Consider the following 25,472-nt stretch of genomic DNA (forward strand, 5'->3'; position numbering starts at 1 on the left):
GTCCCTTAAAGAAGGTGGATTATTAAAATTATATATATAATATATGTAACATATATGTTTAATATTATATATAAAATTAAATATACATATTTGTATATAATTACATAAAATATATAAAATACAAATATATATACAATTTCATATATATAACAAAGTTTATCATTTTAGTCACTTTTAAGTGAATAATTCAGTGGCATTAAGTACATTCACAATGGGCAACCATCACCACCATCCATTCCCAGAACTTTTTTTAATATTCTGAAACAGAAACTTCATATCCATTAAACAGTAACTCCCCATTCCTCTCCTCAGTCTCTGGCAACTATCATTCTACTTTCTGTCTCTATGAATTGTACTTCTCTAGGTACCTCGCAGAAGTGGAATCATGCAGCATTTTTCTTTTTGTGACCGGCTTATTTTGCTTTATTTTGCTTAGCATAATGTCCTCAAGGTTTATCCATGCTGTAGCACGTGTCAGAATTGCCTTCCCTTTTTTTTTTTTTTTTTAATTTTGTTTTGAGACAGAGTGTCGCTCTGTTACACAGGCTGGAGTGCAGTGGTGTGATCTCGGCTCACTGCAACCTCTGCCTCCCGAGTTGAAGCAATTCTTCTGCCTCAGCCTCCCGAGTAGCTGGGACTACAGGCGTGCACCACCACACCCGGCTAATTTTTGTATTTTTAGTAGAGACGGGGTTTCACCATGTTAGTCAGGCTGGTCTGGAACTTCTGACCTCAGGCAAACTGCCTGCCTCGGCCTCCCAAGTTGCTGGGATTACCAGCGTGAGCCACCGTGCCTGGCCTCCCTTTTAAGGCTGAATAATATTCCATTGTACGTAGATACCAAATCCATTCATCTCTGAAGGACATGTAAGTTGTTTCTACCTTTTGACTATTGTGAACCATGCTGTTGTGAACGTTGGTGTACAGGTATCCATTTGAGCCCTTGCTTTCAATTCTTTTTTATTTATAACTAGAAGTGGAATTTCTCCACATCCTCATCAACGCTTGTTTCTGTATTTTTTTTTTATTGTAGCCACACACTATGAATGTCAAAAAGTGACATTTTGACAATTTTGAGCCAGGCTTTCAGGCAGCAGAGGCCTGGGTGGCAGTCTGTGGTGTGAAGTGGATTTAGTCACACACAGTCTGATGTTGTAAACCACATGGGCTCTATTTACCTTCCTCTCCTAGGACTAGGAAGATTCTGTAGAGTATCGGAAAGCATTGGTTCATGTGCTGCCAGGATTCATGTTGGCTCTGGTGAGCCAGGGACAGGGAACTGACCTGCAGGCAGCCCAAGCAGCCACCTACTCACCTCACAATGACAGGGACCCTCATCATACAGGTCAGGGCTCAACTCAAAGACAGGCGTGGCAGTGGGACACAGCAACAGGACTCTCCATGTGGCAAGGGCACCTGGAGGTGGGAGGGCAGGAGCGTCGTCTTGCCCTGGCAGAAGAAGCGGTAGGCTCTGTCTGCGTGGCAGCTGGTCCCCAGCCCTAGGAGAGAAGCTGTCTGTGAGCAAAAGGGAGGGGATACAGGTGTTGGTTGAGGTCTGGGCACCACCCTGCTGGGCCACAGTCTGCTGAAGAGAGTGGGGCTTAGGGGAGGGTTCCCTGGGAATGCAGTGGAGTACCCCTTAAGGATCTAGGGGCCACGCACACAAGGAGTCTGTGCAGCGAGGCCCTCGCTAGGACTTCAGGGCTGGAAGGGAGGGGTCAGTGTTAGGCCTACAAACTACTGTTGTTCAACTGGGAATGCAGAGTCTTGCAACTTTCTTCACCTTGGATACTCCCCTGTGAATCAAGGTGGCTCTGAGTCCTAGGCCTGGGCCTTCCTCTATCCAGGGGAAGTGCTGAGGCCTGGTTCAGAGGAACATGTGAGCTGGAGCCAGTTCATACTGGCTCACAAGAGCCCATCCTGTGCATATCTGTGCAACTCAGTGCCAATGACATTATGTTGATAGCCTGAAATGAGCCATGATAGGAGCATTTACACCACAGAAATTGGCAGATGCTATAAACCCAGGGCCTATTTTCCCTGAAAACATGGTTGTTAAACATTTACCAGCACTTCACTTGCCCTAGGATCAGCTATACCTCTCAAACAGTAAACCTGATCAGTAAATGTGATCTTCTAAACAGCCCTCATTCCTCCTGAGTCCTGCTCCAGCCCCTTTGTCCCAGGGACCCTGGTATCACCACCAACCCCTTGATGATGGAGTGACATGCAGGGTAGGAGCCCAGGGAAGATGGGGAGGAGTGGGCTAAGAAAGCTGGGGCAGCCATGCTTGGTTGGCACAGCTTGAAGATAGTGGCTACTTTCCTTGTCTGTGGCAGAGCAGGGCTAAACAACTTGTCTGTGTCTAGGTCGTTTGCCATGGCAGGTGTGAAATACCCGGGACAGGTGAGTGATGTGGGTTTCTGTCCCCTGTGACGGTCTCAGGGTTGGGTAGCCTCAGCAAGGCCCTGGAAGGGCCAGGCTCTTTCTAGAAGCTCATCTTTCTGTAATGATAGTTTTGGGTTTTGTGGGTTTTTTTTTTTTTTGGTACAAGAAGAAGAAGAGAACTGAGTTTTCTTCTTTATAATTTTCTGGGGGTTCAGTTATTTACTCAGCATGCACTTATTAGGCACCCACAGTGTGCCAGGCCCTGTCCTGGGCTTTGGGACTGCAGAGATGTCTAAGTACACTAAACCTGCTCTAGTGTACTTCATTAAATCCATCACAGTACACCCTGCAAGTGCTGTTGTGGAGGGTTGTAAGGAACAAGGAAAGGGTTTAACTCTTGGGAGGTGGAGAATAAAAGGGTGGGAGAGATGTTTTGGGGAAGTGACATTTAGTCTGGGTCTTGGAGGATAGGTAGGAGTTTGCTAGTCTGTGAGGAGGGCAACTTGCATTTCCATCAGGAGATAGGAAAGAGCACATGCCAGGCCCATGCAAGTGGGAGGAAGTAAGGCTGGAGTAGAGAAGGCAGGAAGGTGGCGGGATGGTAAAAATGGGTCACAGCCAGATCATTTGGGCTCTGAATGTCAGGCCCCAAAGTCGGCCTTTGTCCTACAAACAGCAAGAAGCCATTGAATGGCTTTAAGTGGAGGAGTGACGAGGGAATCTCTTGTTTTATATTCTCCTTGTGCTTTAGGACCCTGTGGATTTAGACATATACCAAAGCTCCCACATGGTCGACTATCAGCCCTACAGGAAGCACAAATACTCCAGGGTCACGCCGCAAGAGGTAGGAAGGCACGCAAGTCCTGTCATTCAATCAACTGCCTACTGAAATCCTCTCTGTTGCTTCATTTGTATTACAAATGTGGACATTTGGGCCCTTGTTAGAACAATATCCAATGCCAGGAGATATGACTTAGAGATCTTTTCTGTGCATGTGCATGTATGTGTGTGTATTTTTTTTTTCTTTTTGAGAAGGAGTCTTACTCTGTCACCCAGGCTGGAGTGCAGTGGCGCGATCTCGGCTCACTACAACCTCTGCCGCCTGCCTGGATTCAAGCGATTCTCCTGCCTCAACTTCCTGAGTAGCTGGGATTACAGGTGCCTGCCACTGCGTCAGCTAATTTTTGTATTTTTAGTAGAGATGGGATTTCACCATCCTGGCCAGGCTGATCTTGAACTCCTGACCTCGTGATCCACCTGCCTCGGCCTCCCAAAGTGCTAGAATTACAGGCGTGAGCCACCGTGGCCGGCCATGTGTGTATGTTTTCAAATGTACATCAAATACGTCATGCATACAAAAAATTGTAAATAATACACATTTAGAGTTAAAATTACACTGATAAACACCGATGTAACCATTACAGACCGCTTAAAACATGGCACATTAACATTAGCAGTACCTTGTAGCCTCTTGGTAACCCGCAAACTTACCCCTCCTCCCATCTCCAGAAGTGGTTAATCATTCCCTTGTAGGCCAGGCACAGTGGCTCACACCTGGAATCCCAGCATTTTGGGAGGCAGAGGCGGCCAGGAGTTGAGACCAGGGGTTTGAGACCAGGAGTTTGAGGCCAGCAGTTCGAGACCAGCCTGGCTGACATGGCGAAATCCCGTCTCTATAAAAAATACAAAAATTAGCCTGGCTTGTTGGTGCACGCTTGTATTTTCAGCTGCGTGGAAGGCTGAGACATGAGAATTGCTTGAACCTGGGAGGTGGGGCGAGACTCTATCCCCCCCAAAAAAATCATTCCCTTATGTGTTTTTCTAAAAACTCATTTTACCTTATATGTATATATTCTTTGGTTTTGCCTTTTTGAACTTTATTACATATTGGATTTGTACCCTTCCACAATTGTCACTTTTTGCTAAACATTATGGCATATTATTCATTTTCTGCTGCATAGTATTACATTGCATGAATATGCCACAGTGTACCGTATTTGTCGTTTCTGTATCTGTCTCTTCTTATTGGTGGACATTTGGGTGCTTTATTCCTACTCTTCCCACTCCCAAATGCTGCATTGAAGATGAGATAAGTCACATCCTAATGTTCAAGAGTTTATCCATTCCAGGAGTGGAATTGTTTGTCATGGAGTATTAGGTAAAATCACTGTTTTCCAAAGCAGTTGCACCAATTTACATTATGGCCAGCAGGAGACAGTTACTTCTGCTGCTCTGCAATCTTGCCATTGCTTGGTATTGGCAGACATTTTAATTTTTGCCAGTTTGGTGGGTGCAAAATCATATTTTCCTGTGGTCATAATTTTCATTTCACTAACAATGAGGTTGGACACATTTTCATTTGTCGATGGAGATTTGCTATTTTATAAAATGTCTGTTTATGTCTTTTGCTCATTTTTCTACTGGGTTTCTTGTCTTTTTCTTATTAATTTGTAGACGTTCTAAAAAATATTCTAAGCATTTTCCCTTTTTTTTTTTTTTTTTGAGAAGGAGTCTGGCTCTGTTGCCCAGGCTGCAGTGCAGTGGTTTGATCTTGGCTCACTGCAACCTCCGCCTCCTGGGTTCAAGCGATTCTCCTGCCTCAGCCTCCCGAGTAGCTGGGATTACAGGCATGCACCACGACACCCAGCTAATTTTTGTATTTTTAGTAGAGATGAGGTTTTACCATGTTGGCCAGGCTGGTCTTGGACTCCTGTCCTCAAGTGATCCACTCACCTCAGCCTCCCAAAGTGCTGGGATTACAGGCGTAAGCCACCACACCTGGCCCTAAGCATTTTTCATTTGTCAGTTATATATGTGGATAAACTCTTCTCCAGTTTGTGGTTTGTCTTTGCACTAAATATTTCAGGGAATGTGAATTCTAATTGTTAATATAGTTAGATTTATCAGTTTTTTCCTTTATCATTTTCTCTTTTCAAGATTGCTTAAAAATCTTCTCCCGTCCTGAGGTTTCCCCACTAAAAAAAGATCTAAACAAACAAAGATGGATCAGTTTCTGAGATGTTATTTAATGGAAGCAAAGTGTGGGATGGAATATAATATTCATCATTTCTGTACAAACCAAGGGAAGAAGATATACACATACATGTTTATATGCACATCAAATATTTCTAGAGAGATACAAAAAGCACTGATAGCAGTGGTTGTCTCTGGAGATGGGAACCAAGGGAGGAGGAGAGTGGGAAAGAGACTTACGTTTCACTATAAACCCTTTTGTGTAATTTCAGCATTCCCTCTGTTGTATATGTTACCATTCAAGGACTAATTTAAAGTTTTGAAAAAATAAAGAAGGGTGTGCTCTGTCTTGGATGCTTCCAAGAAAAGCTACATCATCTCTTGTCTCTCTCACCCCTCCATTCATGTGTGATTTGTTTCCACAGCAGGCAAAGCTCGATGCTCAACTCCGGGACAAAGAGTTTTACAGGCCCATCCCTAACCCCAACCCCAAGCTAACAGATGGGTACCCTGCTTTCAAAAGACCCCACATGACTGCCAAAGACCTGGGACTCCCCGGCTTCTTCCCATCACAGGAACATGAGGCCACGAGGGAGGACGAGCGCAAGTTCACCAGCACCTGCCATTTCACATATCCAGCTTCCCACGATCTGCACCTGGCCCAGGGTGACCCCAACCAGGTCCTCCAGAGTGCTGACTTTCCGTGCCTCGTGGATCCCAAACACCAGCCTGCTGCAGAGATGGCCAAAGGCTACCTGCTACTGCCAGGGTGTCCCTGTCTTCATTGCCATATAGTCAAGGTCCCCATCTTGAACCGGTGGGGACCCTTGATGCCATTTTACCAGTAGGAAGGATGAAAATACCTTCCAAAGGCTCTTCCAAGGGCATGTGGAAATCCTATGACCTTGGAGTGCAGAGAGGAGAACTGAAAATAAAACTGGAAAGATGTTCCAACTGCACTGGGACCCTGGGATCATGTTCATTCTACCTCCCTCCCCGGGCTGCCCTGGGCTACAGCATGCCCATTGCAGAGGGAGGAAGAGAGAGAGGGAGGGGAAATTAGTGTGTATTTAGAACTGAAATTTGTGTCATGTTTCATTATAATTAAGAAACCTGGCCAGGTGCGGTGGCTTATGCGTATTATCCCAGCACTTTGGGAAGCCAAGGCAGGTGGATCACCTGAGGTCAGGAGTTCAAGACCAGTCTGGCCAACATGGTGAAACCCCGTCTCTACTAAAAATACAAAAATTAGCCAGGCATGGTGGCTTACACCCAGTAGTCCCAGCTACTGGGGAGGCTAAGGCACGAGAATCGCTCGAACCCAGAAGGCAGAGGTTGCAGTGAGCTGAGATCGCGCCACTGCACTCCAGCCTGGGCAACAGTGAGAGACTCGGTCTTGGGGGAAAACGAAAGTCCTGTTGTAAAGATTTTTACTGTTTTAAGCATTTATTTAAAAAGTGGGGAAAAGTGTGTTTCCCGCAGTCATCTAGCTATTGGGTGTGATCGCAAAACCTGAGGTGCTGTTGGATAACTTTTCCCCTCGATATTCTTATTTCAGTTCATCCACCACTCCTACCTTGTAGCAATCAACAGCAACAGTTTAAAGGGCATTGTTTCATACTTTTCTTCTTGCTCAGTGGAATGCATGTAAACATACATACGTGTGAGTCAGTGAGTCTGCTATAACAGAGAACCAAAACACAGTAGCTTGACCAACATGCTAGTTTATTTCTCTATTGTCTAATAGTTCAGAGGTAGACAGTTAGGAGGGTAGAACATGTTTGTTGTGGCTTCTATCTCTGGGTCCAAGGTGGATGCTATGGGCTGAATTATGTATCCCACAAATGCATATGTTGAAACTCTAACCCCCGATATGATTGTATTTGGAGATAAAGCTTTTAGGAGGTAATTAAGGTTAATTGAGGTCATAAGAGTAGAGCCTTATTCCACACCTCTTCTAATAGGCATCCTTATTAGAAGAGGAAGAGAAAGAGATTTCTCCATCCATGTGCATGCACTGAGGAATGGTCATGGGAGGACACTCTGAAGGCAGCTGTGTCCAAGCCAGGAAGAGAGCCCCCACCAGAGACCAAACCCTGCTGGACCTTGAACTTGGACTTTCCAGCCTCCAGAACTGTGAGAAAATAAATTTCTGTTGTTTTAGTTGCCCAGTCTGTGGTATTTTGTTATGGCAGCCCAAGCTGAGTGATACAGTGGCTGATTCAGTTGTTGACATTTTTCAGTTAGAAAGAAGAATAACCTGGGGATACAGGTACTTTTCTTTTACGAGCAAAATGCAGAAATTATATTCTTCACTTACTGTCTTGTCCCCTTGGTCAGAGCTTAGTTATACCGCCATACCAAACCTTGAGGAAGGCCGGGAAGTATAATGTTTATTCTGGATGGCCATGTACCCAGCTAAAAATGAGGGGTTTATTAGTTTAGGAGAGGATAGATTTTGGTTGTGACTATCCAGCTTTGCCCAATACATGAGAAATCTTTTGCTTTGGGATCATACTGTACACCAGTGTTTCCCCTAGGGAATCTTATTAAAATGCAAGTTTTGGTTCTGTAGTTCTGGGGTGTACATTCTGCATTTCCAACAAGCTCCCACTATTTTATTTCCTACTTCTATAACATCAACTTTTTAAAAGACTCCACAGATGAGTGAGAACATGCTTGATGCCAATGCTGCAGGACTATAGGGCACACTGGAGTAGCCAGGCTGGACACAATACTCTGCAGGCTGATTTTCCCCCGACTTATGGATTTAATTATTTTTAATGACTACCTAATATTCCATTGAATTGATGGATATTGATGTATTACAATTTTATTACTAGTGGATAGCCATGCTTTTCCATTTTTTCCTGTACGCATAGTGCTGCGATAACTATTCATGAACATATATCCTTACCTATTGATGTTTTTATTTCTGTAAGACAGAATCTTACAAGTAGAATTGCTGGTAAAACGGTATGGATGTTTAGTGTTAATAGAGACTAAGAGAATTTGTTCAGAAGAGTCGAGTCAAAAGTCCCCATCCCACCGCAGTGTGTGATAGTGTCTCTTTTCCTGTCTCCTCACCAGCACATGGATATTATCAATCTTTAATTTTTGCCAATTTGATGGGTGAAAAATGGTATCTTATCTTTTTTTTTTTTTTTTGAGATGGAGTCTCACTCTGTCATCAAGCTGGAGTGCAGTGGCATGATCTCGGTTTACTGCACCCTCTGCCTCCTGGGTTCAAGTGATTGTCCTGCCTCAGCCTCCTGAGTAGCTGGGACTACAGGTGCGTGCCACCATACCCAGCTAATTTTTGTATTTTTGTTGAGACAGGGTTTCACCATGTTGGCCAGGATGGTCTCAACCTCTTGACCTCGTGATCCACCCGCCTCAGCCTCCCAAAGTGCTGGGATTACAGGCATGAGCCACGGTGCCCAGCCCTTATCATGGTTTTAATTTGCAATTACCTGTCTACTAGCCAGGCGTGAAATTTTTTCTATATTATTCGTCCTTGGGTTTCCTAGTCCCATGTTTTTCTCTCGAGTTTTATTTCTTCTCATCAATTTTTTTTTTTTTTTTTGAGATGGAGTTTCACTCTTGTTGCCCAGGCTGGAGTGCAATGGCGCAATTTTGGCTTACCGCAACTTCTGCCTCCCAGGTTCAAGCGATTCTCCTGCCTCACTCTCTCTAGTAGCTGGAATTACAGGCATGCACCACCATGCCTGGCTAATTTTGTATTTTTAATAGAGACAGGGTTTCTCCATGTTGGTCAGGCTGGTCTCGAACTCCTGACCTCAGGTGATCCACCCTCCTCGGCCTGCCAAAGTGCTGGGATTACAAGCGTGAGCCACCGTGCCTGGCTCTTCTCATCAATTTATGGGAGCTCTTTGTACATTGACATGTTAGCCCTTTTATCTAGTAAATGTTCCAAATATGTTCCTCTTTAGTTGTAATTATGAAATTTTAGATATGTAATGTGATAATATTTTTTCTAATATAAAATTAATAATGCCTTCAGTAGAAAATACTGCAAAGTGAAGAAAAGTTTGAAAGAAGAAAAGGAGACCACCTATAAAATCCCACTACTCAGTGATAACTACTGTTAATATTTTGATGCCAGGGTGGCAGGATAAAGGTGACGATCTTGATTTTTTGTTTTGTTTTGTTTTGTTTTTTTGAGACAGGATTTCACTCTTATTGTCCAGGCTGGAGTGTGATGGCGCCATCTCAGCTCACTGCAACCTCCACCTCCCGGGTTCAAGTGATTCTCCTGCCTCAGTCTCCGAAGTAGCTGGGATTACAGGTGCATGCCACCAAGCCCAGCTAATTTTTGTATTTTTAATAGAGATGGGGTTTTGCCATGTTAGCCAGGCTGGTCTCAAACTCCTGACCTCAGGTGATCCACCTGCCTTGGCCTCCCAAAATGTTGGGATTACGGGTGTGAGCCAGCACACCCGGCCAAAATCTTGATTTTGGAGTCAGGCAAAACTGAGGCTTCACCCATGCCTTAATTTACTATTTACTAGCTGAGAGATGTTCTAGAAAATCTCTCTGAACCTCAATTCTCTCATCTGTAAGAGGCATTAATAATGCTCCTATCTTATGAGTGAACACTGAACAGTGCCTGAGATAGTGAGACCTTTTATACACACATTTACAAAGTTCACACTGAATTCTGTAATTATTTTTGTTTTTCTGTTTTTAGGCAATAATACATTTTATTAAGGTATTTTTTCATGCCTACTTTCTATTTCTTGTATCATCCCCCTGGTTGATTTCTTTCTTTTTAAAAAATTATTATTTAAAAAATTACCACATAATAATTGTACATATTTGTAGAGTACATGGTGATGTTTTGATACGTGCAATGTGTAGTGGTCTAATCAGGGTGTGATGACAGTAATACTGAGTGTCAACTTGATTGGATTGAAGGATGCAAAGTATTGATCCTGGGTGTGTCTGTGAGGGTGTTGCCAAAAGGAGACTAACATTTGAATCAGTGGGCTGGAAAAGGCAGACCCACCCTTAATCTGGGTGGACACCATCTAATCAGCTGCCAGCTTGGCTAGAATATAAAGCAGGTAGAAAAATGTGGAAAGACTAGACTGGCCTAGCTTCCCAGCCTACATCCTTCTCCCGTGCTGGATGCTTCCTGCCCTCGAACATGGACTCCAAGTTCTTCAGTTTTGGGACTTGGACTGGCTTCCTCGCTCCTCAGGTGGCCTGTTGTGGGACCTTGTGATTGTGTGAGTTAATAATAAGCTCCCATATATATATATTATATTATATATATATATATGGATATCCTATATACAATAGGATATCCTATTGTATATATATCCTATCAGTTCTGTCCCTCTAGATAACCCTGACTAATATACAGAGTAACCAGTATATTCATCACCTCAAACATTTATCATTTCTTTATCTTGGGAACATTCAAAATCCTCTCTTCTAGCTATTTGAAAGTATATGATAAATTGTTGTTGGCTCTAGTCACTCTATTGTGCTGTAGAACAGTAAAACTTTTTTCTAGCTATAATTTTGTATCCTTTAACCAGCCTCTCCCTATTTTGCTTCCCCTCCTACCCTTCCCAGCCTCTAATAACCACTATTCTACTTCCTATTTCTGTGAGATTAACTTTTTTTTTTTTTTTTTTTTTTGAGACAGAGTCTCGCTCTGTCGCCCAGGCTGGAGTGCAGTGGCGGGATCTCGGCTCACTGCAAGCTCCGCCTCCCGGGTTCACGCCATTCTCCTGCCTCAGTCTCCCAAGTAGCTGGGACTACAGGCGCCCGCCACTACGCCCGGCTAATTTTTTGTATTTTTAGTAGAGACGGGGTTTCACCGTTTTAGCCGGGATGGTCTCGATCTGACCTCGTGATCCGCCCGCCTCGGCCTCCCAAAGTGCTGGGATTACAGGCGTGAGCCACCGCGCCCGGCCGAGATTAACTTTTTAAAAGACTTCTTATATGGCCAGGTGCAGTGGCTCACGCCTGTAATCCCAGCACTTTGGGAGGCCAAGGCGGGTAGATCACCTGAGGTTGGGAGCTCAAGACCAGCCTGACCAACATGGAGAAACCCGTCTCTACTAAAAATACAAAAAAATTGGCCAGGCATGGTGGCACATGCCTGTAATCCCAGCTACTCAGGAGGCTGAGGCAGGAGAATCGCTTGAACCCGGGAGACAGAGGTTGCGGTGAGCCGAGATTGCGCCATTGCACTTCAGCCTGGGCGACAGAGCAAGACTCCATCTCAAAAAAAAAAATAAAAAGACTTCATATATGAGTGAGAACATGTAATTTTTGTCTTTCTGTGCCTGGCTTCTTTTGCTTACCATAATGTCCTCCAGGTTCATCCATGTCAGGATTTTATTCCTTTTTGTGGCTGAAGAGTTTTCCATTCGAATATGTACCACATTTCTTTAACCATTTGTCTGTTGATGGACGCTTAAGTTGATTGATATTTTGGCTGTTGTGAATGGTGCTGCAATAAGTATGGGACTGCAGATGCCTCTCTAATATACTGGTTTCCTTTCCTTTGAAGAAATACCCAGTGGTAGGATTGCTGGATCATATTGAATACTGTAATTTTAAATCCTGCTTGATTTTAATTGCATTAACTATCAACATTCCCACTCAACCTTAAAACTTTGCATCATTGCGTGAATTTTAAAACTATAAACATCACTGCATGAACATAACATAATTTATTATTGTTAGCTATTCAAGATTTTTTCCATTATGCATTTTCTGTTACAAATAACAGGATGTTTTTTAAAATATAAACCTTTTTTCTGTAATTAGGTTGAAAAGGAGTAGCAGGCCAGGTGCAGTGGCTCGTGCCTGTAATCCCAGCACTTTGGGAGGCACAGGCGGGTGGATCATCTGAGGTCAGGAGTTCAAGACCAGGCTGGCCAACATGGCGAAACCCTGTCTTACTAAAAATACAAAAATTAGCCAGGCCTGATGGTGGGCGCCTGTAATCCTGCCTACTCGGGGGCTGAGGCAGGGAAAATCGCTTGAACTCAGGAGGTGGAGGTTGCAGTGAGCCGAGATCGCACCATTGCATTCCAGCCTGGGCGACAGAGAGAGACTCCGTCTCAAAAAAAAAAAAAAAAAACAAAAGAAAAGTAAAAAAAGAAAAGGAGAAGCAAAGTTACTGGGTCGAAATGCATGAACACATTCTTGAAGCATATTACCAATTACTACTTTCTAATCAGATGTATTTTTAATATTAAGAAATGGTTACTAATTTTGTTAGGTGTGATGAGGGAATTTTGGTTATGTTTAAGCATTTATTTATTAGAGATCATTTTCTCTTGAAATATTAACTGAAGAATTGATGTCTGAAATTTATTTTAAAAAAGCTCTAGCAAAAAGCGTTGATGGGGGTAGGAAATAGGTCAAACAATATCAGTGACAAAATAAAAATTGTTGGGTGACAGGTGCTTGCAAGTTCATGATCCTACTCTCTGCTTTTGGGTATTTTTGAAATTATCCACAATAAAACATTAAAATGGAAGGAAGGAAGGAAGGAAGGCAGGCGGAGGGGAAGGGAAGGGAGGAAAAGGAAGGAGGGAAGAAGGGAGGCAGAAAAGAAAAGGAAAGAAAAAATGAAAGATGTATCTCTTTAGAATACTACTAGCCATTTATGAGAGTAGTTAATTCACAGTGTCCTTATCCCTGTTATTATCAAGAAAGAAAGAATGAAAGAGAAAGAAAAGAAAGGAAGAAGACTGCCTATTAGTTTGATAAGAGTACAGTCTCTTTGATCCCTGGTGAGGTGGAATAACTTTTCAAAGACCCTTTATCTCTTCATCACTTGTAAAATGCTTCCTGGTCAGTACATTCCTTTCTTCCTATCTTGTTACAATCTTTAGTGAATCTGTTTTATCCATAACATGCCTTCTAAGATGTCTATAAAAGAAAGTATCTACAAAAGAAAGCTTACTACATCTCAATGCTTTTTAATAAATAATTTTTTTTTCAGTGACAGGTCATGTGGATCAGCTGATGGTTTTAACACATGGAATTTCTACAAAATGCTTTAGCTGAGGTGAAAACATTAGTAACAATACATATTTGCTGCACACACCACACATATTTCGTCTTCATATTCAGATGAAGAAACAGAGGTTGAGGGAGGTTAAGTACCTGGCTCAAGTCCACATGTAACAAAGCCAGAATTTAAATCCCAGATTTGATTCCAACCCTAAAGTTTTAGTCATTTTTGAAAACTTGCATGTCACTTTATTCTAAATAAAAGTTTTATTCTAAAACTTTATTTTTTTATTTTTATTTATTTATTTTTTGAAACAGAGTTTTCCTCTGTCACCCAGGCTGGAATGCAATGGCACGATCTCGGCTCACTGCAACCTCTGCCTTCCATGCTCAAGCGATTCTCTTGCCTCAGCCTCCCAAGTAGCTGGGATTACAGGTGCATGCTAATTTTTTGTATTTTTAGTAGAGACAGGGTTTCGCCATGTTGGCCAGGCTGGTCTTGAACTCCTGACCTCAGATGATCCACCCACCTCGGCCTCCCAAAGTGATGGGATTACAGGCGTGAGACATTGTGCCCGGCCTATTCTAAAACTTTAATAAAAACGGTTGTCTTGCTCCCTAATGTCCAAGTTTCATTGATTAATAGCCATCAGTGTGAACAACTACCTGGACCAAGAAGATCAGCTGGATTCGGAGATATCCTTCGCTAGTTCTTAATCTGAGATGTTCAGAAACCTTGGAAATGTCTGTTTCTGGAGAGACCATCACTGTCTCTCCCCTAGGTGGACAGAGCAAGAAGGTGAGCCATGACCTGGATCTGCTGGAGCAGGAGAGGACAGCGGTAGGGGAGCCCAGGAAGGGATCAGGCACAGGAGAGAAGGATGAGTTGAGACCCCAACACGCTGCTTTTGAGGCGCTTGCTGCACCTTCCCACAGGAGGCTGAGGAAACAGCTCTGAGAAATAGCTACTAAAATCCTAAGATTTTGCCTCAGAAATCTCCTTCGAATTTGACCCTCCATTCAGACCCCACTGCAGCAGGCCTCCTCTATGGCACCCGGGAACGGCCCTTGCAGTCCTCCCCATTTTAACTCTAGAGGAATCATAAAACACAGGTCTGATTACATATTCATGATCTCCCTGTATAACCACCACGTGGGGGGTCCCACAGCGTAAGGCCCTTCCTAGGAGGCAGCAACCCCTCCCTCCAACCCCATCTCAACCTGCCCTACACGCATATTCACCCCTCTCCCACCTCCTGCCTTCCACTTGCTGTTACTTTTTGTAAACAACTTTTTCTCCTGGTTTCCCCCAGTTTCCCCCAGCTGACAGCTTACACAGCCTCCTCTGAAGAATCCTGCCTTGACAACCCCCTGTCCCTAACAGTTTGCTCGCTCTCTGTGTTCTTAAGTCCCTTTGTTCCTACATCTTTCAGCGGGGGGCTGTGAGGAGTCCAAGAGTGAACACCCAGTGCCTGCCCTGGCAAACAGTGACTGCTCAATCATTGTGAGCTATATTTTATTTTATTAAAAAAATTTTTTTTTGAGACAGAGTCTTGCTCCATCACCAGGCGTGATCTCAGCTCACTGCAACCTCCACCTCCCAGGTCCAAGCGATTCTCATGCCTCAGCCTCCAGAGTAGCTAGGATTACAGGTGTTAGCACAACTAAGTTCCTCTTCAAAACTTACCTCCCTGTTTATAAGTTGTAAGGTTATAAGCTAGCCCTTCTCCCTGCTTTCCCCTTTCTCCACTTTGGCCTTCAAAGTCCTCGTCTCGCTACCTTATTTAGAAAGAGGTTCAAACTTCCTTCTGTTCTGTAACCAACCCCCTTGCTGTACCCATACATATCCAGGCATGCCTAGGCATGCCTTCCCTCCTGCCTAGTTAGTAACAGACGGTCTCTCCTCCCCACTCCTCTTTTAGCAAATTGCGCGTTTACTCTATTTGGAGAATTTTAAGTCTTAGCCAATCAGGTCAGCTTAGATTGTGAGGTCCAACTCCAGCCAATGGGGAAAGGACACAGAAACAACAACTGCGTTAGGGATAAAAACCCCTTCTCTCCTTTGTTGGGGTACTCTTGTGATCATGGCTGATGCAGGCAGCACCCTTCTGTAGAAGTAGTTGCCTTACTGAGAAAACTTTTTGCCTGAGTGCTGGTTCTTCTTTTCGGCACCGAGCACTTGTTTCTAACAGAGACATGTGCCACCACGCCCGGTTAATTTTTCTATTTTTAGTAGAGACGGGATTCTGCCCTGTTGGCCAGGCTGGTCTGAAACTCCTGACCTCAAGTGATTTGCCCACCTCGGCCTCCCAAAGTGCTGGATTACAGGGTTAGCCACAACGCCCAGCCATATTTAATTTTAATATGTATTATCTTTAGAATAATTTCTTTTTTGAAAATCTTTTGGAGTGTTTTACTTTCTTTCTTGCCCTTGAAACCTGGCATATAGCAGGTGCTCAACAAATATTGAAGGAAGGAATGAGGGTGAGAGAGAGCAGCGGTTTTCCAAGGGCCCGCACAGGAAAGAGACAGAAGGGCTCCAGTTGTCTTCTGTAACTGCCCCCAGCAGCTTCAGGCTCCAGGCAGGGAGCAAGGAAGCTATCAGTACCTGGCAATATCAGGTAAAGTGACCCAGACAGACATTCCTGAGGATGGCTCACAACTTTGCCCACTGAATTCTACTCTCTCCAACTGAAGTTGCCTTTGGGGAAAAGCAGGACAATAGGAATTCCAAATTGGGTTTGGGTGGTGTCTCGATCATCCCCTGTGTCTTCCTAGTCCCAGCTCTGCCCTGGTCCAATAGCTGTGTTTAGTGAATAGATCCAGGGGGAGCCTGCTTTGGTCAACAGACATCTTAATAGTCTCAGAATAAAACTCTTCACTCTTCACCTAGTTTATTGCTGGGCAGAGCATGGCCGGATTCCAGCAGCCATCCCCATCTGCCTTCATTCCTCTTGTATTTTTTAGGGTCCCCTGAAGTTCCTCAATATTAGGCTGAGAGCAGAGAATCGGGAGCAGGTATCCTGGAACTAGACTCACAGTGTCATGCAATGTGCCAACCCCCATATTGGGCTGAGCACATACCTTATCTTACTCAATACCTGCCTTCACCATTGAGTGAATACAGCCATCGGGCCTATGTTGTAGCAGAGAAAACCAAGGCCTCAGGTGACTTGGCCAAATGTCACACGGGTGGTAGCTGAGCTGCGATTGGCTGAGCTGGGTTTGGCTTTCTCCTCCCATAAAAATCTCATTTTGACCTTTCGTTTTCTCATGTGTAGAAGGGAGGATAATTATACCCATCTTACAAGATACAAAAAAGAAAGTACATGAATGCACTTAACATTTTTAAAGGGTTAATAGAGTGTTTCTTTCAATTATCAATATAAAAGAGAATTAATTAACACTTATTTTCCCACCCTTACTTGTAGATTCTGTGCTGCGCCCCACCACCATGATGTCAACTCTATGGATGCTTTTGTCTTTTTTTGGCCTTGGGAGGGACCCCGTGGCAGAGGCTGCAGAGACCAGACTGGGGGCTTGAAGGTAATGCTAACAGCTTTTTTATGTTATATATATATTTCAGAGCTTACAAAACATGGCCACAGAGGGTATCATCTTCCAACTTCATTTCTTCTCTGTGACACAGGAATTCTTACACTCATTTCACAGAAAGCACCAGCAACCAAGGGGTGAGGGTTTAGGCCCCAGGCTTCCATGGCAGTGTGCCCTCTTCCAGATCAAGTGGTCACTCACAGTTGATCTTTGACTCTGAGAGTTCCTAGCAGGGGATGGCAGTGGAGTGCCTGGGTCAAATGCTGATTCCTCAGTTCTGCCAGGTCTGGATGGAGAGTCATTAGAACTGGTGTGAACTCCAGTAATCTATTGTTTTATATGGTTCACTGGCGGCTGAGTCACTGGTGCCATGTGAATCACACATTGAGAAATAGCAGAAGAGAATGCACAGCCCCTGGAAGTCTTGGACAGAGAGTGACAAGTCTTTGCTGGACATAAACTATAACTAGGGAGCTAGGGTAAGGTGGATCAGAGCATGCATAGATTGAAATATCTTTTACGGCTGGGGTGTGGTGGCTCACACCTGTAATCTTAGCACTTTGGGAGGCTGAGGTGAGTGGATCACCTGAGGTCAGGAGTTCGAGACCAGACTGGCCAACATGGTGAAACCCCGTCTCTACTAAAAATACAAAAAATTAGTTGGGCGTGGTGGTGGACACCTGTAATCTCAGCTACTTGGGAGGCTGAGGCAGGAGAATTGCTTGAACTCAGGAGGCAGAGGTTGCAGTGAACCAAGATCAAGCCATTGCATTCTAGCATGGGCAGCAAGAGCAAAACTGCATCTCAAAAAAAAAAAAAAAAGAAAAGAAAAGAAATATCTTTTACTAGTCCATTTTGTGTTGCTATAAAAGAACACATGAGACTGGGTAATTTATATAAGAAAGAGGTATATTTAGTTCATGGTTCTGCAGGCTGGGAAGTTCAAGGACATGGCTCTGGCTTCTGAAGAGGGCTTTTATGCTGTGTTATAATATGGCAGAGAAAGTCAAAGGGTAAGTGGACTCAAACGAAGAAAGAAAACATGAAGAGTGTCTTGGCTTTATAACAACCTACTCTTCTGGGAACGAATTCATTCCCAGTCCCTTGAGAGCAAGGGCTCACTCACTTCCTCAAGAACAGCACCAAGCCATTCATGAGGGACCTGCCCCCATGACCCAAACACTTCCCAGTAGGCCCCACCTCTTCATACTGCCACACTGGGGATCAAATTTCAACATGAGATTTGGTGCAGATAAACCATATCCAAACCATAGTGTATCTCAAGAATGTTTTGGGGCCTGGAGTGGTGGCTCATGCCTGTAATCCCAGCACTTTGGGAGGCTGATGTGTGACAATCTCTTGAGCCCAGGAGTTCAAGAGCAGCCTGGGCAACAAAGCAAGACCCTGTATCTACTTTTAAAAAATTAAAAAGAATGTTTTGGCTTTGCAACATTCCAGAACATGTCCATTAATTTCCAAACATTAAAGAATATATATTCCATTTGTATAGGATGCCTAGAGTAGTCAGACTCATAGAGACAGGAGGAAGAATGGTGGTTGTGAGGGGTTGGGGAAGGAAGAAATGGGGAGTTATTATTCAGTGGTACAGAGTTTCAGTTTGGGAGGTTAAAAAGTTCTGGAGATGGATGGTGATGATGATTGCACTACAGTGTGAATGTACTTAATGTCATAGATCTCTACACTTAAAAATAGTTAAAATGGTAAATTTTATGTGTGTATTTTACTACAACAAATATTTATATATAAAACACACAGACACAAACACACATAAAAATAAAGTTTCTCTCAGTATGACATAAAATCTGGAAACTACAAATTAAAAAATTAAATTATACATTGCGTACATAATAATCAAACTTCCTGCGTGGAAAAAAAACCCATAAAATAAAAAGGCAGGCCGAGTGCAGTGCTCATGCTTGTAATCCTAACACTTTGGGAGGCTGATGCCGACAGATCCCTTGAGTCCAGGAGGTCAATACCAGCCTGGGCAACCTGGTGAAACCCCATCTCTACCAAAAGTACAAAAATTAGCCAGGCATGGTGGTGTGCTCCTGCAGTCCTAGCTACTTGGGAGACTGAGGTGGGAGAATCACTTGAACCCAGGAGGTGGAGGCTGCAGTGAGCCGAGATCATGCCACAGTACTCCAGCCTGAGTGACAGAGTGAGACCCTGCCAAGAAAAAAAATAAATAAATAAAAGGCAAAGAACAAAGTAGGAAAATATTTGCAACATAAATAACACATCTGAGTTCTTTATACTATGAAGAAACAGACCCACAATGCTGGAGAAAAATGATTTTTAATTCAATCATTTTTCTCTCATTTAGCACATACATATTTAACACCTGCGTACCAGGCACAATTCTAAGTACCGGGAATATAGCAAAAATGAAAATAATAATAAGACAAGGAGATTCCATTCTAATTGGGGAAAATAACAATAAATAAAATGAGGGAAATGTGGCATGTTGGAAGGTTGTAAGTGGAGTGGAGAAAGACAAAGCAGGTAGGAGGATGTCAGAGTTATGACACCAGGTTCCTCAGAGCAGGTGGCATTTGACCAACACCTTGGAGAAGGGGAGCCCTTCGCACGGGGAGGACTGGGACTGAAGGAACAGGAAGGGCAGACCCTGGGGAGGTGCCTGGGAGGCAGTGTCAGGGTGGTTACAAGGTTTCTCAGGACTGTCTAGGTGCAGGTAAGCCCTTACAAAGGCTGCGACTCTTCTTTCGAGTGAGACGGGAGCCACTGCAAAGTAATGAACAAAGGGTGACATAACCTGGTTTCAGTTTTATTGTTTATTTTTATTTTTTATTTTTTTGAGACAGAGTCTCGCTCTTTTCCCCAGGTTGGAGTGCAGTGGTGTGATCTCGGCTTGCTGCAACCTCTGCCTCCTGGGTTCAAGCAATTCTCCTGTCTCAGCCTCCCGAGTAGCTGAGATTACAGGTGCATGCCACCACACCCAGCTAATTTGTGTAATTTTAGTAGAGATGGGGTTTCACCATATTGGCAAGGCTGGTCTTGAACTCCTGACCTCAAGTGATCCACCTGCCTTGGCCTTCCAAATTGCCGAGATTACAGGTGTGAGCCACCATGCCCAGCCTGGTTTCTGTTTTAGAAGAATCATTTTGACCACTGGATTGAGAAAAGACAGAGGGGACAAATGGAGAAGCAGGATAATCCAGGTGAGAGGTAGGGGTGGCGTGGACCACAGCAATCACTGTGGAGGTGGAGAAGATGGAGAAATGGTTGGATTTTGATTGTGTGTGAAGGCAGAGCCTGAGATTTCTTGACAGATTGGCTGTGGAGTACATGAGAGAGACATTGATGATGACTCCATTTTTTGGCTTGTGCAAACTGGAAAGGTGACCTGCTTTTCACTGAAATGGAGAAAACGATAGTCCAAATGAGTTTGGGGAAGATCAGTTTGGTTTTGGAAATATTAAGTTTGAAATGCCTCTAGGATTTGAGGAGGCAGCTGGCTACACAGGGCAGAGTCCAGGAGAGAGGTCAGGGCCTGGAGATAGATCCTCAGGAATTAACAGCATATGGATGGCATTGAAAATCAGGAGACTCAGTCCCTTGCCAAGGAGTGGAAGTGGTCCGAGGACTGAGGTCTAGGGCAGGTCAAAGTTGAAAGGTCAGGCAGATGGAGGGAGCTTTGAGGTGGGACAAAAACCACAGGGGTCTGGTGTTCTGGAGATCACGTGAAGAAAGGTGACAGGGAGGAGGGAGCAACCTGCGGATCAGCAGCGTCAGATGCTGTTGCTGGGCCAGGACTGAGGACTTAGCACTGGATGTATTAATAGCAACAAGGTTATTATTGGTGACCCGCAAGGAGCCTGGGGGTGAAAACCTGAAAGAGGTAACCAAGTGCTCTTAACAATGCTCACATAAAATTTGAAAATGCTCAATAAAATACACACATAAAATTTCCCATTTTACCTTTAACTTTTAGGTAAAGACAGGCACTATTATCATCCCGATTTTATAGATGAGAAAATTGAGGCACAGAAAGGTCAGACGGCTAGTGAATGGTGGAGCTGGGATTTGAACCCTAGTAGTCTATCTCAAGATTATAAGGGCTGCTGCATGCAGTGGCTCACATCTGCAATCTCAGTGCTTTGGGAGGCCAAGGCGGGAGGATTGCTTGAGCCCAGGAGTCCAAGACCAGCCTTGGTAACATAGTGAGACCTCCATCTCTACAAAAAATAAAAAAGCCAGATTTAGTGGCGTGTGCCTGTAGTCCCAGCTACTTGGGAGGCTGAGGCAGGAGGATCCCTTGAGTCCTGGAGGTTGAGGCTTCAGTGAGCCAAGATTGTACTACTGCATTCTTGCCTGAGAAATAAAGCAAGACCCCGTCTCTGAAAAGAGAGAGAAAGAGAGAGATTGTAAACACTATGAAAAAAAAAAATGCAAGCCAGGTGCGGCAGCTCATGCCTGTAATCCCAGCACTTTGGGAGACTGAGGTGAACAGATCACTTGAGGTCACGAGTTCGAGACCAGTCTGGCCAAGATGGTGAAACCACATCTCTACTAAAAATACAAAAATTAGCCAGGTGTGGTGGTGGGCACCTGTAATCTCAGCTACTAGGGAGGCTGAGGCAGGAGAATCGCTTGAACCCAGGAGGCAGAGGTTGCGGTGAGCCGAGATCGTGCCACCACACTCCAGCTTGGGCCACAGAGCAAGACTCTGTCTCAGAAAAAAAAAAACAGGAAAAAAAAAAAAAATGGAGACCTCTCTGAGACCGAAATGACAGGAGAAACTCTGGGCAGAAGCCCTTTGGTGGCAAGCACAAGGCCATCTGATGAAGAGTGCTGGGTGTGCTCATGGAACAGGAAGTCCAGTATATTGGCTGTGGTGACTGAGAAAGAATTGAGTTGTGGACTGAGTGAATATCTGACTGCCTTGAGCTGTGGTTCTCTCCTGGCGTGATGACTTCTCCAGGTGGCAGGGCACGCACTGCCACATTCTATCCCAGTACATGACCTTTCTGTTCTCGAGGATATTCTTCCTTAGATTGAGCTCTGCTAGATTCTCCCCAATAGCCATCTTCTCTTCTGTATTAACAGACACCTAAGATTTTTGCTGAGCAATGGCCACTTGGAATAAAGACTACATTTCCCAGCTTCCCTTGCATAAAACACGGCCATGTGACTAGATCCCAGCCAATGGGCCATAAGCAAAAATGGTATATGCCTCTTCCCAGGCCACGCCCTTCCCCTCCTGCATCCTGGTGCTTGGACAAGTTATGAGCCTAGTTGGACCTTGTGGATAAGGGCCCTACCCTAGGGATGGTGAAATGGCAGTGAGAAGGAGGTTGGATTTTTGAGTGGTACACAGCAGTCTCGTCAGGTCTAGAGTGTCCCGTGGAATAAAATAAACCTCCAATTGTTTAAGCCAATGTTTCTCAAGCTTACCTGTACATTAGAATCACCTGTGGAGCTTAAAAAGTATATATATATATACTGATTCTTGCCCCTTCTCCTAAATTTTTGATTTAATTGGACTGAGGTATAGCCTGGCATTGGATAATTTTTTGAGACAGAATCTCCCTCTGTCACCCAGGCTAGAGTGCAGTGGCACAATCTCGGCTCACTGCAACCTCCGCCTCCTGGGTTCAAGCAATTTTCCTGCCTCAGCTTCCCAACAGCTGGGATTACAGGCACCTGCCACCACGCCCGGCTAATTTTTTGTATTTTTAGTAGAGATGGGGTTTCACCAAGTTGGCCAGACTGGTCTCGAACTCCTGACCTCAGGTGATCCACCCACCTTGGCCTCCCAAAGTGTTGGGATTACAGGCGTGAGCCACTAGTGGCTCCTGGCCGGCGTTGGATATTTAAAAATCTCCCCAGCCAAGGTTGAGAACCCTTGGTTTATGTCACTGGTAATTTGGGTTTCTGTTAAACACTTAAAACTATATCCTGATGTGTCCAAGCTCAGGTGGGTCTTGGCTCTTAAAAGCTACGCCTTGAGAATAGAGTCAAACTGCTCTCAGACTGCTGGACAGGCCTTCAAATGAAAAGTCAGGGCCAGGCACAGTGGCTCATGACTGTAATCTCAGCATTTTGGAAGGCCAAGGTGGGAGGATAGCTTGAGCCCAGGAGTTCAAGACCAGCCTGGAGAACATGGTGAAGCCCTGTCTCTACAAAAAATACAAAAATTATCCAGGTATGGTGGTGCATGCCTGTAGTCCCAGCTACTCGAGGGCTGAGGTGGATTGCTTGAGACCAGGACGTCACGGCTACAGTGAGTCATGATTGTGCCACTGCACTCCAGCGTGGGGAACAGAGTGAGATCTCATCTCTACAAAACAACAACAACAACAACAACAAATTAGCTGGGTGTGATGATGCATGCCTGTAGTCCCAGCTGCTTGGGAGGCTGAGGTGGGAGGATTACTTGAGGCCAGGAGGTTGAGGCTACAGTGAGTCATTATCATGCCACTGCACTCCATCCTGGGCAAAAGAGTGAGAACATGTCTCAAAAAACAAACAAAAAAACCCCCCAAAGTCAGGTGATAGACCTCTTCCTAATTATGTCGTGTTCATCCCTTCACTGGGATGAGGGCCGATCAGGAGGATCTTCACCAAGATTGTTATCCTGGAGGAGAGACCTGAGAGGAAGGGTTTCCAGGGGGTGAGGGTTCAGGTGGGTAGAGGAAGTAAAGGGGTAACAGATAGACAAGCTAGGGAGCATGGCAGCTTGAGAAAAGGCCAGGAGTTCATTTGTTACTCCTGAAAAGCAGAATGGGCACATGTGGGTTCTCAAGAATTAAGGCTCAACTGGGTAAGTTGGTGGAGGGTCTTGTATGTCAAGCTCATGAGTTTGACTTTGAACCTGAGGATGTCCAGGGACTTTCAGAGGATGTTAAGCAGGGAAGAAATAGCAAGGCCAGATTTATGTTGTAAAATATTCTGTCATGACAGCATGAGTTGGTTCAAGACTGGAGGTGGGCAGACCAGTTCTGAGGTCCCGTGAGAGGTGTAGGGACCAATGAATGCAACCTGCTTGTGTTTGAAGTTCTGCTAGATGTCTCACATTGTTGATTTACTTTAAGTTTCCAACAAACCTAGAGTTCTCATTGTCAACATTTGTATTGCTTCGAAGCTAGTTCCTACTCGGCCTGCATTTGTCCATCCAGAGCTTAGGGATCTGGGGGAATGGTTATAGGTCCCTTCTAGAATAGTCCCTTCCTCTTAGGAATTGCTTGGGAGATGTTAGTAGAAAGAACCATGGCCCAGGTGCATTTTATCTTGTTAGTGCCAGCCTATCCCAGAAGTAGTCAGGGTAGGGCCAGTACAGGAGAAGGGCTGAAATAAATCTAAACTTCACCACAGTCCATTGCAAATATTAATGTTTGTGTGAATTACTTTGGGATCCTATTAAAACATGAATTCTGGTCCAGCAGGTCTGGAGTAGAACCTGAGATACTGCATTTCTGCAGATGCTTCTGGTCCTGTAGCCACTATGAAAGGGGAGGCATGTGGTTCTCAGCTTTGACTGTACTTTGGAATTATCAGGAGGCTTAAAAAAATCCTGAGGCCTGGGCTCCACACCCTCAGGTTGTGATTTACAGGGCTGGAGTGCTGCCTGGGTATTGGCTATTTTTTTTTAAGGTCATATTATTATTCTACTGTGCTGTCAAGATTGAGAAGCAGTGCCTTAGAATCACCTATGAGTGTTTAAAATGTAGGTTCTTAAAACTTTTGATTCTTTAAATCTTGGAAGTAGTGGATGGGTGGTGCATACCTATAGTCCCAGTTACTGGGGAAGCTGAGATAGGAAGATCTCTTGAGGCCAGGAGTTGGAGGTTGCAATAGTCACTGCACTCCAGCCTGGGCAACATAATATGACTTCCTCTCCGAAGAAAAGAAAGAGGCCGGGCACTGTGGCTCACGCCTGTAATCCTAGCACTTTGGGAGGCTGAGGCAGGAGGATCGCTTGAGGCCAGGAGTTGGAGACCAGTCTGGCCAATGTGGCAAAACTCTGTCTCTATTAAAAATACAAAAAATTAGCCAGGTGTGGTGGTGCACGCCTGTAGTCCCAGCTACTTGGGAGGCTGAGTCAGGAGAATCACTTGAACCCAGGAGGTGGAGGTTGCAGTGAGCTGAGATCGCACCATTGGAGTCCAGCCTGGGTGACAAGAGTGAAACTCCATCTCAAAACAACAAACAAACAAAAACCCCCAAAATTAGCTGGGCGTTGTGGCACATGCCTGTAATCTCAGCTACTCAGGAGGCTGAGGCAGGAGAATTGCTTGAATGCAGGAGGCAGAGGTTGCAGTGAGCTGAGATTGTGACACCACACTCCAGCCTGAGCATCTCAAATAAATAAATAAATAAATAACAGGAAGAAAAACAACTTGAAAGAGGCCTTGCAAGAAGTGTGCACTATAGCAAGCACTGTTGGAGAATCTACTGCAGGTAAACAGCCCTTACACTTGGAAAAGGACCCTGTGGGTCATGGTGATGCCAGAGTGCAGTGATTATGGCGAAGCTGCCTGAGGGTCATGGTTATTGGAATTGGA

The 25,472-nt window shown here is 44.5% G+C and overlaps 1 protein-coding gene and 1 long non-coding RNA gene across 5 annotated transcripts in view, besides 1 other annotated feature; both read left to right on the plus strand.

Moving 5' to 3' along the window:
• Positions 1–1,383: 1,383 nt before the first annotated feature.
• On the plus strand, positions 1,384–6,320 carry SPMIP9 (sperm microtubule inner protein 9). Of its 4 annotated transcripts, XM_011532691.2 has the most exons (5): positions 1,384–1,517; positions 2,145–2,234; positions 2,370–2,406; positions 3,140–3,232; positions 5,787–6,320. In XM_011532691.2, the coding sequence occupies exons 3-5, from the start codon at positions 2,380–2,382 to the stop codon at positions 6,207–6,209; spliced, it is 543 nt and encodes a 180-aa protein (XP_011530993.1). In that variant the 5' UTR covers positions 1,384–1,517; positions 2,145–2,234; positions 2,370–2,379; the 3' UTR covers positions 6,210–6,320. The 4 variants fall into 4 exon arrangements, with proteins under 4 accessions (XP_011530993.1, XP_011530994.1, NP_689883.1 ...); XM_011532692.3 differs by lacking the exon at positions 2,145–2,234 and having other exon boundaries at positions 1,384–1,541; NM_152670.3 differs by lacking the exon at positions 2,145–2,234.
• Positions 14,676–15,875: an enhancer, noted in NCBI's record as "MED14-independent group 3 enhancer chr2:88837459-88838658 (GRCh37/hg19 assembly coordinates)". NCBI's record gives its function as "activates an origin of replication core promoter dependent on BRD2, BRD4, P300/CBP and CDK7 cofactors, and independent of MED14, by STARR-seq in HCT116 cells {active_cell/tissue: HCT116}" and the evidence as "EXISTENCE:reporter gene assay evidence [ECO:0000049][PMID:35650434]".
• The window catches only part of EIF2AK3-AS1 (EIF2AK3 antisense RNA 1), a 36,891-nt gene continuing 26,873 nt past the window's right edge, over positions 15,455–25,472 (plus strand). The window contains exons 1-2 of the long non-coding RNA NR_110236.1: positions 15,455–15,989; positions 16,800–16,914. This is a non-coding gene — a long non-coding RNA (EIF2AK3 antisense RNA 1). The remainder of the gene's footprint in view (positions 15,990–16,799; positions 16,915–25,472) is intronic.

Source organism: Homo sapiens, chromosome 2, assembly GCF_000001405.40.
Source record: "Homo sapiens chromosome 2, GRCh38.p14 Primary Assembly".
Taxonomy (NCBI): Eukaryota; Metazoa; Chordata; class Mammalia; order Primates; family Hominidae; genus Homo; species Homo sapiens.